Source organism: Homo sapiens, chromosome 12 (assembly GCF_000001405.40).
Source record: "Homo sapiens chromosome 12, GRCh38.p14 Primary Assembly".
Lineage (NCBI taxonomy): Eukaryota > Metazoa > Chordata > Mammalia > Primates > Hominidae > Homo > Homo sapiens.
In genome coordinates this window covers 9930278-9947213 of record NC_000012.12, presented here as the reverse complement: position 1 = coordinate 9947213, position 16936 = coordinate 9930278, and the positions used below count along the sequence as shown (strand labels likewise).

General features: G+C 38.0%; 1 protein-coding gene and 1 long non-coding RNA gene across 10 annotated transcripts in view; both read left to right on the top strand.

Moving 5' to 3' along the window:
• Positions 3719-10635, top strand: LINC02470 (long intergenic non-protein coding RNA 2470). The gene is made up of 5 exons (NR_104634.2): positions 3719-4084; positions 4642-4725; positions 7121-7305; positions 8044-8151; positions 10400-10635. It is a non-coding gene; the product is annotated as a long intergenic non-protein coding RNA 2470 (long non-coding RNA).
• Positions 10636-14843: 4208 nt separating this feature from the next.
• The window catches only part of CLEC2A (C-type lectin domain family 2 member A), a 54629-nt gene continuing 52536 nt past the window's right edge, over positions 14844-16936 (top strand). For all 9 annotated transcript variants that reach the window (XR_007063076.1, XR_007063074.1, XR_007063075.1 and 6 more), the window contains exon 1: positions 14844-14939. Coding sequence is in view for 6 of the 9 variants with exons in the window: in XM_011520657.3 (XP_011518959.1) it covers positions 14885-14939 (55 nt within the window). In the remaining 3 variants the exon portion in view is untranslated. The remainder of the gene's footprint in view (positions 14940-16936) is intronic.

The following is a 16936-nucleotide window of genomic DNA, read 5'->3' as shown; positions in this document are numbered from 1 at the left end:
CTAAATCCCTTGGAATGTTCTGGGCAATAGGAATATCTCTGGTTCTAATGAGGTGACTCTTGGTAGGCTCTTAAATGAAGGCTGGTTGCCAGAAAGACCAAGACATGGTTAGAAGCTTAGACATTTCACTCCTACCCCACATTAGTCACAGATGGGAAAGGGGCTGGAAAAAGAGTAATCAATCATGTCTACATGATGAAACCTCCATAAAAGTCCCAAAAATACAGGGTTACAAGAACTCCCAGGTGGACAAACACACTTATGTGCCACGAGGATGATGCACCCCAACTTTATAGGGACAGAAGCTCCTGCACTCTGGACCCTCTCAGACCTCCCCCAACTATCTTTTTATCTGGATGTTCATGTGTACCCTTTATTAATATCATAAACTGGTAAACATTGAGTGTTTCTCCAAGTTCTCTGAGCCTCTCTATCAAATTAATCAAGTGTGATGAGGGGTCGAGGGAACCCTCAATCTGTAGCTGGTTGGTCAGCAGTTCCAGAGGCCCAGACTTGACACTGGCATCTGAAGTGGAGGGCAGTCTTGATGGAGTGAGCCCTTGATCTGTGGAATTTGATGCTAACTCCAGGTGGATACTGTCAGAATTGAATTGAATTATAGGACATACAGTGGGTGTCCCCTAGAGCAGCAGTCCCCAACTGCTGCCCCAATAGGGCACCAGGGACCGATTTCAGGGAAGATAATTTTTCTACAGACCCTGGGGTGGGGGAAGATGGTTTCAAGATGATTCAAGTGCATTACATTTTTTGTTCACTTTATTTCTAGTATTATTACATTGTAATATATAATAAAATACTTACACAACTCACCATAATGTAGAATCAGTGGGAACGCTGAGCTTGTTTTCGTGCAACTAGACGGTCTCATCTGGGGATGATGGGAGACAGTGACAGATCATCAGGCATTAGATTCTCCTAAGGAGCATGCAACTTAGATCCCTTGCATTCACAGTTCACAGTAGGGTTTGCACTCCTATGAGAATCTAATGAGCAGCTGATCTGACAGGAGGTGGAGCTCAGGCAGTAATGCAAGTGATGGGAAGCAGCTGTAAATACAGATGAAGCTGCTCTCTCTTGCCTGCTGCTCACCTCCTGCTGTGCAACCCCATTCCTAACAGGCCATGGACTGTTCCTGAAAGGCCATGGACCGTTCCTGAAAGGCCATGCACCGGTACTGGCCCATGGCCCGAGGGTTGGGGCCCCCTGCCCTAGATAATTTATTGATTTGAGGAGAAACCCCCTCCCTACACATCTGGTGTAGGAGGTGAAATATTAAGAGTATTGTAAGAAGAAAACAATCCCCCCGCCCCCATATATATACTTGCTTCTATGAGGGAGAGGTTGATCTTATCTCTAATGATTTGGTTGAATTTAATCTAAGCCAGTCATACTGTTTCTATTCCTCTTGAAAGTTATCATCTTAAGAAGGAATATATGGTCTGTCAAGGTAAATGAAAAATGAGAGAAATCTTCTAGTTGAATTCTAGGAACTATTTTCCACTCATTAAGAAGATAGAGGCAGAGACTGGCATGGTGCAACTTCATGGTAAGGATCACTAAGGATTGCCAGCAGCCACCAGAAGCTGGAAGAGAGGTGTGAAGCAGGTTCTTCCTCAGAGCCTCTTTATTCCAGACTTCTGGCCTCCAGAACTGTGAGATACCACATTTCTACCATTTATAGCTTTGAAATCTGTGCTAATTAATTACTGAAGTCACAAGAATACATTACATAAATAAGTATAAATAATTCTTATGTATAGAATAAGGTCTATACACATACAATATATGCTTATACATGCATATGTATGTGTTTGTATATGTATTTGTGTGTGTATATATATGAAAATTTATATATATATATGAAAATTTATATATATATATATATCTCCAGGCTGGAGTGCAATGGCGGGACGCCGGCTCACTACAACCTCCGCCTCCTGGGTTCAAGCGATTCTCCTGCCTCAGCCTCCTGAGTAGCTGGGATTACAGGCGTCTGCCACCACACCAGGCTAATTTTTGTATTTTTAGTAGAGACGGGGTTTCACCATGTTGGCCAAACTGGTTTCAAACTCCTTGACTTCAGATGCTCTGCCTGCCTCAGCCTCCCAATGTGCTGGGATTACAGGCGTGAGCCACAGTGCCCGGCCGTATATGTATATTTTAAAGAGAATGTCTGTGGGGAGTAGGGTGTGTGTATAAACTTTACTTTGCGTGGTTCTAATATGCATAAACTTCACTTCTCACAGTTTAATTAAATAACTCCCCAACAGCACAGTTTAATTCTTTCAGCGTACTTATCTGTATTTGTATTATATTTACTGTAAGTAATTGTATAAAGTAGAAACTTCCATGCTAGTTTTTCAGTTCACGAATCACTATATACATGTTTGTATTGTGATTAACGACCAACCATGTCACTTTTTTCCAAGTCTGTCAATGATTGATTGGTCACCATGCATCTTTTATCAGTTAATACAGAATAAGATGGAGAGTTATTCTGTATTATTTTGTAAATGTCACATGGGTTTGTCACTGTATGACAAATTCCAAAGGAAATTTGAAACAGGAAGACAAGAAGAGGAAGGTAATTGAAACAGGAAATTGGTTAGTGACACAAAGTGCAGCAAAAAATGATGGCGCTGAAAGGGGAAATAAAATAGAAGAGAAATGAAGTTAGAGAAGCAATAGCTGTTGATAGGGTTATTAATAATTCACCTTTTGAAGAGTCTCTAGATAATGCAACCAGAGGAATTTAGTAAAGGCACACTTATTGACAAAAATAAGGTAAGTGGTTGTGATGAAAAGAATGAAGAGGTCCCAGAGGAAGTTATACGAGCTAAAGTGTTCACATCAAATGAACTCTCAATGTGTTTCCTAACATTTCAAGTGCAAAGAATAGTATATTGGAAGTCTATCCAAATTTAGGAATAAAAAAGCTTGAGAAGGCATCTAAAAGATGCTGGCTCCATATTGTAAGCGATAGAACAACAACAGCACGTACTCAATTCACACTACTCATTTTCTTTTAAGCAAAACACTTGAAACTCAGTGTTTTTAATGTTTTAATTATAGCATACTTTAAAAATATTAATTTTATTGTTGTTTACATTTCCCTATACGTTTATGAGTGACAGTAAAGTAATTTTCAATCAGGAAAAGAGGATAAAGGAAAAATCATACTTTTCCCTATTATTAAAATAGCTTGGTGTGATATCAGCTTGTGCAGTAATTTTTATTATCACACACTACAGTGCAAAATAAAAACTGCCTGTATATGAAACAAGCTTTCATTAGTTCCTATGAAAACATGTAAAAACAATGGCTTTGTTTTCCCACATTTTACTAAACACTCCACAGGTACACTTAGAACACAGTGGTTAAAAATGTAGAACAGAAAAAAGTTATTAAAAACAAGAAAATGGGGGCAGATCCACTTTGTGGCGTGAGAGAATGTGTACACTTTCCAGTGCAGGCAATTTATGTTATATACCTGTGTCCAATCGGAGATTTTTAGGGAGACAATATAAAGAAGCCGGAAAGGGAGGGTATGGGACTCCCCATTCTCTGCTCTGCGTACCAAGCAGGTGGGAGGTGAGGTGCCCATTAGGTTGAATTCTTATCGCTGTGCCCCAGCCAATCGTGGGCTGCGGAAATCATGGGCTGTAGAGTCATCGCTGCCGGGGCAGAGGCACCGTTGGTGCATGCCCGGCTGCCGTTGCTGCCCCTGCCTCGTACAAACGTCAGAGAAGGCACATGACACGCCCCTGGGGGCCATCTGGCCCAAGTCCACCTGCGCGGCTGAGTGGAGGATGCTAGGTTGCTGTGCTGTTTCTCCTACTGTCTTGCTGCCGCACCACCCCTCAGAAAAACCGGGTCGTCAGTTTCCTGCGGTTTGCACTCACCAAATATACTTAGCAATTTGCAATTCACCCGCAGGATTATTCCAGCCTCTGTGATCACACACAGAAGGATGAGCCTTCCTCGTGAGGGTTGGAGATGGAGGGAGAAGGGATGGAGAGTAAGGATGGGACGGAGGTTGTGGAGCAGCAGACCAACACGCCAGGTGGGTGAGGTTGTGTGATTATTCTAGCATCTTTTCTTGATCCTAGCTTGCACCCTTTTAGCATTGGGAGGGAAGGGCAGGGTAGGGGATAGCGACCATAATATAGATCTTAAGTAAAAGCAGTTTTCATTAATAAAACAAAGACTTCAATAATAATGATAATTGGCGATTCCAGCCTCCTCCATCATATTGGAAAAGACAGTATTTCATTAAAAATACTTGGAATTTTCCCTTGGAAAAGGCAGTATTTTATTAAAAGACGCTGCGAGGAAACTGTTGGTTTTCTGTTCTGGAAGCAGGGCAGAAGAATTAGTAACACAGTTCTGCCAAATAGCACAGGAAAGTGGAGCCAAAGCACCTTCGAGGCTCCTGATGTTCAAACGTTAGGTCTTAGTTCCCTTTCTTATTTTTCTAATACATTAATTGCTGAATTGTGAACAGTAGAACACGCGGAAGATAGAGAAAAGAGATAAACATGATGGGTTTTTTGTTGGTTTGCTTGCTTTTTTTCTCTCTGGAACATAAACAATGACATCTGTTTCTCTTTGGTATAATAGAAAGGAAAATAATGATCATCTCAATTTTTATATGTGGAGGCATTGCTTTTCTTCTTTGGGGGATTTTAAGATTTCCCAGAAAATGTAAGTAAACAATTTCTGCTAAAATTATTAAATTAAATTGTTAAAATTATTGTATTATTGATTCAGTTGGATACCAATAACTAGTCTTTCCTTCCTTAATATAGAACAATTTAGAGATAAAAGCATTTTCCAAGACAGTGCATCTAATTGCTCTTCAAACTTAGTCACCTGCTTCACCTTCTAGAATAATCAGTCTTTCAATAAATATGTATCAAGCTTTAGGCACAGTGCTGCCTGCTGATGATATAACAATGAAAAAAAATGGTATTTCTTGCCTGAAAGTAGTTTATCTTTAACTGAATATGGAAGCATGTAAGCAAACAACTGTAACACAAAAGAAATAATTACTAAATAGAACTATGTTGAATTTGAAGCAGGAGAGGAGATTATAAGTTAGCTGCTTGTAGTCAAGGCTTTAATGAAGGGAGAAATATTTGTGCTGAATCTTAAACTCAAGTAGGCGTTTATCAAAGATCATCTTAGAACACACATGTCAGAGAATCACACCAGGTATAATTATGATGGAGTTACAAAGAAGTAGGGTGAGGGACTGGCAATTGTATTATAGTTCCCTAGTGCATTAACTCTTTCACTGCCATTCATTAGCAATTTATACCTTGTCCTTCATCTCCATTCTCCTCATGCTCATTCTCATGTCTATACCCTTGCTTCCAACTTGTTCTAATTTTAACAATTTGTAGGAAACTTCCAAATGCTCCCATCACCACACCAGCTTACTTACTCCATCTCTGCCCCTACACTCTGCCTAGACTCCTGGAACTGTAGATGCAGTATTCATGTTCTACAATAGATCCTATATTCTTTCACTGGATCAGTAATATCACCCTAGTAATTCTCCACTCTCCTACATTATCCTTTTTTCATCCTCAACTGAAACATCTCCATCAGCAAATATGACATACTGGTATCTATATCAACCTTGAAAAAATAAACAACAAAAACAACAGAATTTATTAGACCCCACTTATCTTTTAGCAACCAATTTATTGTTTTTCTCCTTGGTACAGCAACCTCTTTAAAACGGCTTTTCAAAATAATTTTTTATCTTTCCTTTTTCTGTTAAATCCACTTGGATCAAGCTTCCACTCTGCTTTTTCCACCAAACTTGTCTTTCAAGTTCACCAATAACTTCCATATTGCTAAATCGACTGGTCCATTCTCCCTCCTCACCTTATTATATAACCTATTTGCAGCTTTTGGCACTCCCTTTTTCTAAAAAAAAAAAAAAATTTCATTTGACTTACATGACGCCATATTCTTGTGGTTTGCTTTCTACTCATTTTACCAACAACCGTGATTCCCTGATTCTCCTTCACTCTGATCTATTTTACGACAAACTATATAATTTCAGACGCATAAGTCCCATAAGAGTAGGTATTTCTGTATGTTATGTAGGCTATTCATAGAGTTACAAAAATGTCTGGCGTGTAGCAGGTGCTCAATCGGTAGTTGTTGACTGCGTAAATGAAAGAATGAATTAATTAGTAAATGAATGAGAAAACTGCCTTTCTGGTGACCCAAGTTTTGAATTAAGTATTTGGTTTTTATATTGGTTATTGATTTGAATTTGACATTTTAAAATAATTTTGAACATGACACATTCAAATAACTTTGATAACTTGATTTTTTCACTTCACTCTCAGGTCTCAACTATATAGAACCATATTGCCAGTTGATCCTTCCCATTGAGGATTTTCCCACTCACAGATTTGAAGATGAACCAGTCATTTATTTTAGTTGTGGATAGGAGGTGCTCTCAGAGCTTGTTTCTTTCAGGATTATACCTTAACAAGGAACTTCCTTTATCTAGTGCAGTAACTTAAGGAGTAAAAGTGGAGAGTAAAAAGGGAAATTTTAGCATTCTTTTTTCTGTGTTTCTTGTTTCATAACGGACAAGGAAACAGCGCCACCTTCTAGAGAAATGCTGTCTTTGAAAGACAATATAGTCTCAGTTAAGTTGATGATAGGAACCAGCTCACTGAAGTTATGAATATAGAAAAATTTGTTTATTTACACTGCAACTTGTTCTAGAGAGCATAGTAAATTTTAGGAAAGAAATAGATGAATAAAGAAAATTCATGTAGTCTAAAAATTAGGAGGGAAAATGGCTGGAAGATACTGAATTTCTGGAAGTTTGTTATTGAGTTTTTAAATTTTTCATAGCTCTCATTCTCCAGTGCTTATTCCTTTCATGTTCTCTTCTCGATATTCAATTTTTTTGAATTGATGTTTAAAGTTAAGTCATTCAAATTGAATATGTAAGTAAAACACATTTTATTAGTCTGAGCTATATAATAATATTTTACTCTGAAGCTCACTCTTTCTTTCTTTGATACTTTCTTTATTCTTTTTCTCTATTACCTGTTAATTTCAGTTGGAATTCCAAGGCACCTTAGAAACAAGACATGCCTAGAAAATTTGACTATGTGTCCACAAGGCTGGAACTGAATCAATAATAATTGCTTCTTTCAATCTGAACATGAAACAACGTGGATCAATGGCTGAGAAAACTGCAGAAGTTATGGATCTCTGGCCAGGCTCAACTCTCAGAATGAAATGGTTAGATTTCTTCTTTGCAATATTAAACTCATTTAATAGCTACTAAAAGACAGGCACACTCCTAGGGTGTAATACATTAGCAAACCAAAGAATCAAAGATCTTTGCCCTTGTGGAGTTTACATGCTAGGGGAAGAGATAAGCAATGAAAAATTATCTTATTAAATATGTAATTTATATATTGTGTTAGAAGTTGGAAAGTTTTATGCAAAAAAATGAAAATTAAGGGAGTGGGTTTACTGCAGGTAAGGTTATATCCCAATAAGATGGTGACATTTTAGGAAGGATGTGAAGCAGGTAAGGGACTATCTAGAAGTGAACTTTCCAGGAAAGGAAAATGGCTGGAGCGTGTGTCTTAAGGCCAGTGAATGTCTGGAATATTCAAGGAACAGAAAAGAAGCAGCCAGTCAATCTATCTAAAATGAGGGATTGAGTGAAGAATGCGGATCATTAGGGTCTTGCAGGCTATTGTAAAGAGTTTAGTTTTTGCTCCAAGCAAAATAGGGAGATACTGCCAAATTATGAGGGAAAATGTAATAGGATCTGACTTAAGTTTTAAAAGAATCATAATCTTTGCTGTGATGAGGTTGGCTACTGAGTCTCAAATGTAAACGGAGGGAATCATGTTATACGGCCTTTGCAGTAACTGTGCAAGATAATAATAGACTTAAAGGGCACTGGAGGGAGTGAGAATGAGAAAACTAGAAGAAATCTATGACAGCACTCTGTATTTTGTAAAGGGAATCTTTGATGCATTATCTGGGGCCGTCTTTATATTGGTTTGAACTGAGCAAGCACAATGCAAACAAAACGTGGATGTGGGCAGATGGAGCTACATTCAGCAATTGGTAAGCCTTACTAACATGTATTTACTATTAAATGTGTAAAGCGTGGTAAAGATTCTGAGTCTATAACTGGCTTCCTCCATAGATTCCTCCACATCATCCCCCCAAAAGACCCTCAAAAAATAGATGCCAAAGAGAATATTTAGACAAAGTTACGGTTTTTAGTGAGGGTTTGGCATCACATATCAATATTTATGTATATATATGGAATTGGTATATACCACATGTGAGTCACAAGTGTTCCCTTTATCCTGAACTGGATGCAAGTCTAAGCAGTTTGATCCTTTCCTCTTTGGACCTGGGACCTTGCCTTTTGTTTTTGTTTTTTTTGTTGTTGTTCCTTTGGCCTTTCATTGATGGGAGAGCATTAGAGAGTGTACTGAAGCCTACACTTTCCGCACCCACCAGTGGCCTGACATGCACAAGAGTAAGTTAAGAAGAGAACGTGTTTGCCTCAGTTTACCTTTGTTTAAAATTCAAGAACTTCTTTATATTCCATAGCTTGAAAAAACTCATCATACACTTAGAATCTATTTTGTTCTTAAAACACTTACAAATTTCTCCAACGTCAGGGTGGAGAAGGTCATATAAAGGATATTGAGTTCTCAGTATTCTTTGGTGAACTAAAGGTGACCACTAGCTACCATTTATTGACTGCCCACTTTGTAATAGATACTGGTTCTGTAGCACTCCATGCCAGATATTACATGTTGTATATAATATAATAAAGTTAGTAGCGGAACTTTCTAAAGTTGAGAAAATTCTCTTATGATTATTGTATTTACATTCAATTTGGGGTGAAAATGCACAATGATTTGAGAGGGATAATATACCCAATATTATATTTTATCTTTGAAAAATGTAAAAAAAAAAGACAGATTAAACTTTCTGACTATAAAACATAATATTATATTTTCTTGAAAGAAAATATTAACAGCTTAATGTGGCATTACATATTATATACAGGCCCATCAAAAAATGAGACAGGAGTTAACATTGGTGTATTAATTTGCTAAGTCTGCTGTAATAAATGCCACTGAATGGGTGGCTCAAAGACAGCTCTGGGGGCCGTTAAGTCCAGGATCAAGGTGTTAGTAGGGTTGGTTTCTTTTAAGGCCCTTCTCTTTGGCTTGCAGATGGCTGTCTTCTCACTCTGTGTTCATGTGGCCTTCTGTACACACTCAAGTCTGTGTCTAACTTATTTCTTCTTATAGGGACATCAGTCATATTGGATTAAGGTGCACCCTAAAGACCTTTTCTTACCTCAATCACTTCTTTTTTAAAAAAAACAAATACCTTATCTCCAAATCTGTTACATTCTCAGGTACTGGGAGTTAGGCACTTAATGTATGAAATTTGGGGGCCTATAATTCAGCCCATAACGGTTGTTATTAGTTGGCACTATGGATTGGATAAGCATAAAAATACACATATATTTTGGGAATGGGCAGGATAAAAATTTGAAGTTACCCTAGAAGTTAGGAAAGTGTACACCAGTACTGTGAAGTTCCCCCAAATAATTACAGTATAACCAGAAATGTATCATGATTAACCATCCTGTTTTCCTCCGTTTTGAATTTTGAATTTCACATGTTTATATGTATGGCATAAAATATAAATGTAGGAAATCTTTTCTTTAGATTTTATTTGTTTACTTATGTGTATCGTAATCTATTGAGTAAAGAATACCTGTTTCACTACAGTGATGGTGATAAAGAGTGGCCAAATGTGAACATTTATTTCAGCATTAATAGACCAATTTTGTAATATATGAAAGGTATGTTCAATGAAATGTCAGTTACACTCCCCTTCTTTATAATTTCTAAATGGCTAAACACATTGATATATCAATGTTTATGCTACAGTATAAAGGGAAGAATCCAATCCCTCACAAAATGATTACAATGTTTGCTATAGTATCAACAGCGTAAACTTCCAGGACTGTGTTGTTAGGCACTGAAGTCACATAGTGTCCTTTTCTTCCTGCCATCAGGGTCCTGAGGTAAAATTTGGAGAAAGATAGGAGGAGAGCAACAGCTTGTTTCACTTCCTCTACTCCTTCCACACTGCACGTGTTTTAGAAACCGGGCTAATGAAATTTACGTTCTATTTTCGAGGCTGTGCTCAGTTATTTCTCAGGAGGTCCAGTAAATAAAGAATTAATCTATTTGTTTTGTCTTTAGTCAAGTTATGAAACTAGCGAATTATTTACATTAAGTGGATTTGTTGTTGCTGTCGTTGCTGAAACTAGTGAAAGAATCGAGTTTTGTGCTATGAGTCATGGGAGCAAAACGTGAGTATTTAGAAGTGGAGAGGACCACGAAGAAGGAAGCCCTGGTGACTTGAAGAAATCATGGAGAGTTCTCCGGATTCCCACAAACCTATGGGGTTTAGATTCCAGCTAATACTTACACGGGTCTCAGAAGGACAGAGGGCAAGGGTTAACATCTGGCTGATATTAAAGTCTCTGCACCTCTTAATATTTTACTTTGGCCTAGTTTTCTTTTCTTCGCTTTTACATTTCCTGATATAATGAGTAATTCTCTTTTGAGTATTAACTTGTACCATGAACTATGCTAAATATTTTTACCCCTAAATGATGAAGAATTTTTATCATTTTTTGCTGAAATAAATGAGCAAATGAAAGATTGTTTACCTGGGATTATAGTAAATGGTAGAACCACATTTTAAATTCAGCTGGGTCTCACACACATTACAGACATTCAAACAATGTGGAAAATAATATTGAAAAAATAGATGGTTGGCCGGGTGCGGTGGCTCATGCCTGTAATCCCTGCACTTTGGGAGGCTGAGGTGGGCGGATCACGAGGTCAGGAGATGGAGACCATCCTGGGTAAGATGGTGAAACCCCTTACCCTCTACTAAAAAATAGAAAAAATTAGCCGGGCGGGGTGGCGGGCGCCTGTAGTCCCAGCTACTCGGGAGCCTGAGGCAGGAGAATGGTGTGAACCCGGGAGGCGGAGCTTGCAGTGAGCAGAGATCGCGCCACTGCACTCCAGCCTGGGTGACAGAGCGAGACCCCGTCTCAAAAAAAAAAGAAGAGAAAAAATAGATGGTATGTTCAGCATCATCAGAAGCAAATTTTATCAGCATCTCATCTTCTCATTCTCTATGGGGCCGGGATTTAATAGTGTGTAAACCGTGTTAGCAGGTTAAATGCAGGTGTTGTTAAATTATAATTTACATGCTGTACTGTACAAGAACAAAAATAATTCTAAAATTTTCAGATTATTGTGCTACAAAAAATGACCATCGTTAGCAAAAGGAGGATGGGGAATGAGACTTATGCATTTTTAAGGTCATTAAACATCTCCATTAGCCATCTCTGGAGTGGTGACTATCACATTAGAAGGGGACCGCTTTGCATCTCCTAATGATGACATTTCTATCCAGCTGTACTGAAATAGAAATAATGTTAAAAGGAGTCAGAGCGCCCAGTGGAGAAAATTTGACAGGTAAAGAAGAAAAGAGAAAGGAACAAATAATGGGCTGCGGGTTGAATTTTATGAACATGAGCAGAACTTTGAACATTTTTAAGTATAGTTATTCAGGCTAGGTGAGTGGATTGCATCCCCTTCCAACTTATTCTGAGGACAGTACCCAGAGTGAACATATTAAATGTATGTCAGATCACACCGCTATTCTGCTCAAAAGAATTTTCCATCTTCCCATTTCACTTAGAATATTAGCCACAGGCCTCAGAATGGCAAAAACAGAATTACCCTGTTGGTACTTAGCTGAACTCTTCTCTCACTGTTCTCCTCCAGACACAGCTGGCTTCCTCACTCTTTCCGGAATGTGCCAGGCATACATCTGCCCTAGGATCTTCACACAATTCCACCAGGATGATGGTATCCACATGGCACTTTCCCTCCTCAAAGTTCATTTACATTTCACTTTCTCAGTGATGCTTACCCTGACTACCCTATTAAAATTGCAGCTCACACTCCTCAACCTTGACATTACTAATCAATTTTAACCTGGTCTATCTTTTGTTTTCAGTGGAACTTATTACATACTGGAATATGGAATATTGTACCATTTGTTTACTATCTTTAGTCTTTATGTTTAAACTTCCTGGAATGGAAACCCCATGAGTAAAGGAATCTGTGTCTATTTTGTTCACAGACGTATTTCAAGCACCCTGAAAAATGCCAAGTACTAATTAGGCATTCTGTAAATGTTTGTTGAATAAGACAATGAAGAGGCAAATTAAATTAAATACAAAATAGTTTGTTATCCAGGACATTTCTGACTGTATAGCCAAAGCTTTAAAATGAAGATAAGAATAATTTTATAAAATGAATTAGACACATATCAACCCTAGGGAGAATCTTCAAAGTGGTCTGCTCCTTTGAAAAGCCTTAAACAGGAAAGCTTTTATTTAAAGAATGGGCTGGGCATGGTGGCTCACACCTGTAATCCCAGCACTTTGGGAGGCCGAGGCGGGTGGATAACCTGAGGTCAGGAGTTCGAGACCAGCTGGACCAACATGGAGAAGCCTCGTCTCTACTAAAAATACAAAATTAGGCAGGCATGGTGGTGCATGCCCATAATCCCAGCTACTCAGGAGGCTGAGGCAGGAGAATCACTTGAACCCAGGAGGTGGAAGTTGCGTGAGCCGAGATCACACCATTGCATTCCAGCCTGGGCCACAGGAGAGAAACTCCATCTCAAAAAAAAAAAAAAAATGACACTGTGCTTCTGGAAATAACCTAATTATTACCAGAGGAAGGAATTCATGTCTATGCCATACAAGAGCTTTCACCCTTTAGAAGTGTTTTACGGAAGGTCACACACACACACACACACACACACACTGATCAAATTGCGGAATTCTCTGAAGCATACAGAGAATGGCATTTATTCTGGCAAGAACTGTGCAAATTGTTACAAGAAACATAAGGGATGGCAAGTATGAACAATTATATTTCAACAGATGCAGGAAGCAGTTGAAATATGGCTTCTCAACATCTGGGGCTTGCATACTTGTCATCTGGAAACCAGATTGGGTCAGTTACATGTGGAAAGGAATAAGTTATTGCCAGGCCAAATTTCCATATTAAAAGAAGTCTCCATTACCAGATTCTTTTTTTACAGACACCAAATAGACCAGGGAGTTACTAAAAATGGAAGGAGGTCGTGAGAAAGCAAGTCATACTATGAGTAGGACCTCACCTTATGAATTGCCTCTTTAGCAAAATCAACTGCAGAAAGGAAAGACATTGTCTGTTAAATGAAAGGTAATAAATGGAATTCGCAGGTGGACAAAAATACCTCCTGAAATCCCGTAACCCAGCGGGGTACAGATGAGACACGCCCTCTGCAGATACAGTGTGCAACTACCAGTGTGACTCTGAGTGCCCGTTTTCTGTCTCTGCACCGAAGCACCAAAAGCAAAGATTCCAGGCTGAAGCAAATTTTTTTTTTTTTTTTTTGAGACGGAGTCTTGCTCAGTTGCCCAGGCTGGAGTGCAGTGGCACGATCTCGGCTCACTGCAAGCTCCGCCTCCCGGGTTCACACCATTCTCCTGCCTCAGCCTCTCGAGTAGCTGGGACTACAGGTACCCGCCACCAGGCCCGGCTAATTTTTTGTATTTTTAGTAGAGACGGGGTTTCATTGTGTTAGCCAGGATAGTCTCGATCTCCTGACCTCATGATCCACCCGCCTCGGCCTCCCCAAGTGCTGGGATTACAGGTGACAGACACCGCGCCCAGCCAGTTTTACAGCTTTTTATAAAGATAAACATACTTATATGATGCAGCAATTCAATTTCTGGGAATTTATCCAAGAGAAAACTTGCTCACACAAAAATGCCTGTGTACAGCAGTTTCATACATAACAGTCCCACCCTAGAAACAAAAGTCCATCAACTAGTGATCAAAGAGATAATTTCTGGTATAACATGCAATAGGAATACTACTAAGAAATAAAAGGGAATGAACTACTTACCTGCACAACAACTTGAGTGAATCTCAAAAGTATTATAAATGAAATAAGCAAGAGACAAGACACTACATATTATATGATACCATTTATATAAAATTCTATGAAAGGGGCTGGCCGTGGTGGCTCATGCCTGTAATCCCAGTACTTTGGGTGACTGAAGCCAGAAGATCACTTAAGCCCAGGAGTTCAAGACCAGTCTGGGCAATATAATGAGACCTAGTCTCTACAAAAAATAAAATTAGCAGGGCATGATGGTGCGCGACTGTAGTCCCAGCTACTTGGGTGGGTAGGGCAGGAGGATTGCTTGAGCCAAGGAGGTCAAAGTTGCAATGGGCCAAGTTTTCCCCACTGCACTCCAGCCTGGGCAACACAGTGAGACCCTGCCTCAAAAAAAAAAAATTCCATGAAAGGAAAAACTATGTTGATATAAAGCAAAGTAATGCTTGCCAGGGTCCAGGGTCAGAAAAGATAGTGATTACACAAGGAAAAAAAGAAAGATGATGGAAATGTTCCATAGCACGGTTGTTGTGGTGTTTACATGATTGACTTTACGATCCTTTTGTTATGGATGAGTTAATTTTTAAATTCCTTCCTTAAACTAACAAGTCTGCCTACTTTTATCTTTGATCTAAAATTAGTACTGATGTTTTCCATTTGGATTGGTTAAGTCTCTTTTGACTGAAGCTTGCTCAGTGCCTAAATAAGTGATGTACATGAAAAGCTTTCTAGTCCTCTCCTACTGATCTCCATCGGTTAGCGCCTTGCCATGATTAATCCAGAGCTGCGGGATGGCAGAGCTGATGGCTTCATACATCGGATAGGTAAGTTTTATAGAGTGAATGAGAAGGAAGTAAAGGAAAGATAAAACAAAATACAGGACAGCTTAAAAATATGGACTCTTTACTTACTGTGAAAGTCTACTAAAGTAAGTGAGGGATGGGGAAGCACTTCCGGAGAATTGTGGAAGCCTGTTAGAGCATGTAGAGTTTTATGTCTGCAAGAGAGGGTATAAGCTTGTGTGTAAGAAGGTTTTGGGGCAGAATTTTATGGTACGTGTATTATATCTCAATAAGAATATTTTTAAAATGTACTTTCACAGGGAAAAAATTGCTTAACACTTTTATACAGAATAAAAAGCAAATGCTTCACTCTGGAAGGAGGCTTGATGATTGTGACTTCATAAGACTGAAAAGAACTTTTCAAAAATTTTAAGATTCAGCTAAGGCCAACAATGAAGTTTGTTTTCAGTGGATTGAAACATAAACAAACCAATAAATAAAAACAAGGTACACATACAAACACCCTCCATTCACAATAGTTCTGAGGGTTTATGTTAAAGAAAACGAATGAATTGTATGCCAAATGACTGGAATAGGAAGCCTGCCAAAACTTTAAGATAAAGACAGTGAAGAGATAAAAAGTAAAATCTTGAAATGAGTTAAGGACTCCAGCTGAAACCACTATCAGAGTTTACTGATATGAATTCCCAGGGCAATTGGGATAATTCTTTTAATAATAAGTAAGCCTGATACTCTTAAAGGTTGAAGAGACCTCAGTAGCTACCTAGTAAAACTTTTCATCTACCATACGATTTCTAGCTACAGCATTTCTAGCAGCCTATACTAGAATGTTTTCAGTGATAATATCTCTCTGTCTTAGAAGACTTTCCATTTTAATTTAAGGATGTTCTATTTAGAAGTTTCTTTAGGGTAAGGTTAAATTTACTTCGTTGTATATTCTAACTATTGGTCATAGTTACGAACTCTTGATCTATGAAAACTTCATAAGAAAATTTTTAAAAATTAGTCTACATTTTACACAATTGGACATTAGTATTACAAAAAGAAATAAGATTCCATCCCTTTAGCCAAATAAATTAGTCAGGCTTGTCTGGGTAACAGATTTAAGAGTTTAGAGAGTAAAAAGTGGAAGAAAATTTATCTCATTGCATAACGAGAAGACAAAATATGAAGTACTGTGAAGCATGTACTGGAAGATTATGAGAAAGCCGGGCTGCAGGAATCATTAGAACATCTAGTCTGAGAATTTAATTAAAGCATAATAAAAATGCTCCAAAAGAAAAGATATTAATGAAATGAAGAAGCACCAAGAACACAATAAAAACCAAGTGAAAATAATAATTATAGAAATATAGTGTTTGAAATAAAGAACACTTTGAGGAGTTAATTAATAGAATGGACGCTGATTAAGAATGAATAAGACCTAGGAGATGCTATTAAAAACATGACAGAAAAGAAAACAGTTAGAAAATATAAAATAAAAGCTGAGAGATATGAAAAATAGAAGTAGAAATGCCACCTTCTAGATAACAAGAATCTGAAACAGAGAGAGAGAAAAAAAGAATAGCGGATAGGAAATATTTGAAGAAATAATATTCCAACTTCTAAAACTAATAAAAGCCAAATACCTCAAACTGAAACTTCAAAAGTGTACAAACAAAATAGATAAGAAAAAAACATGCATCTGGCACAATAGAGTGAAAGAAAAATATACAAAATTAAAAAATGAGATAATAGGAGACGTTAGTGAAAAAGAGAAGAAATGAGAGGGATAACAAATCAAATGGTGGCTATTAGAAAAGACGAGAGAACTAGATGTCTAAAAGTTTGCAGAAGACGATACAATAAAGAAAATATCAAAAAAGTACAAATAATCACAAAAACCACAAATATTAAAATTTAATAAAACATTATGGAAATAATTCATCAATTATTATGGGGCAAACTCTGTTCCCTTAAAATTTTATATATTGAGGCTCTAACCCCCTCTACCTCAGAATGTGATCTGGTTTGGAGAT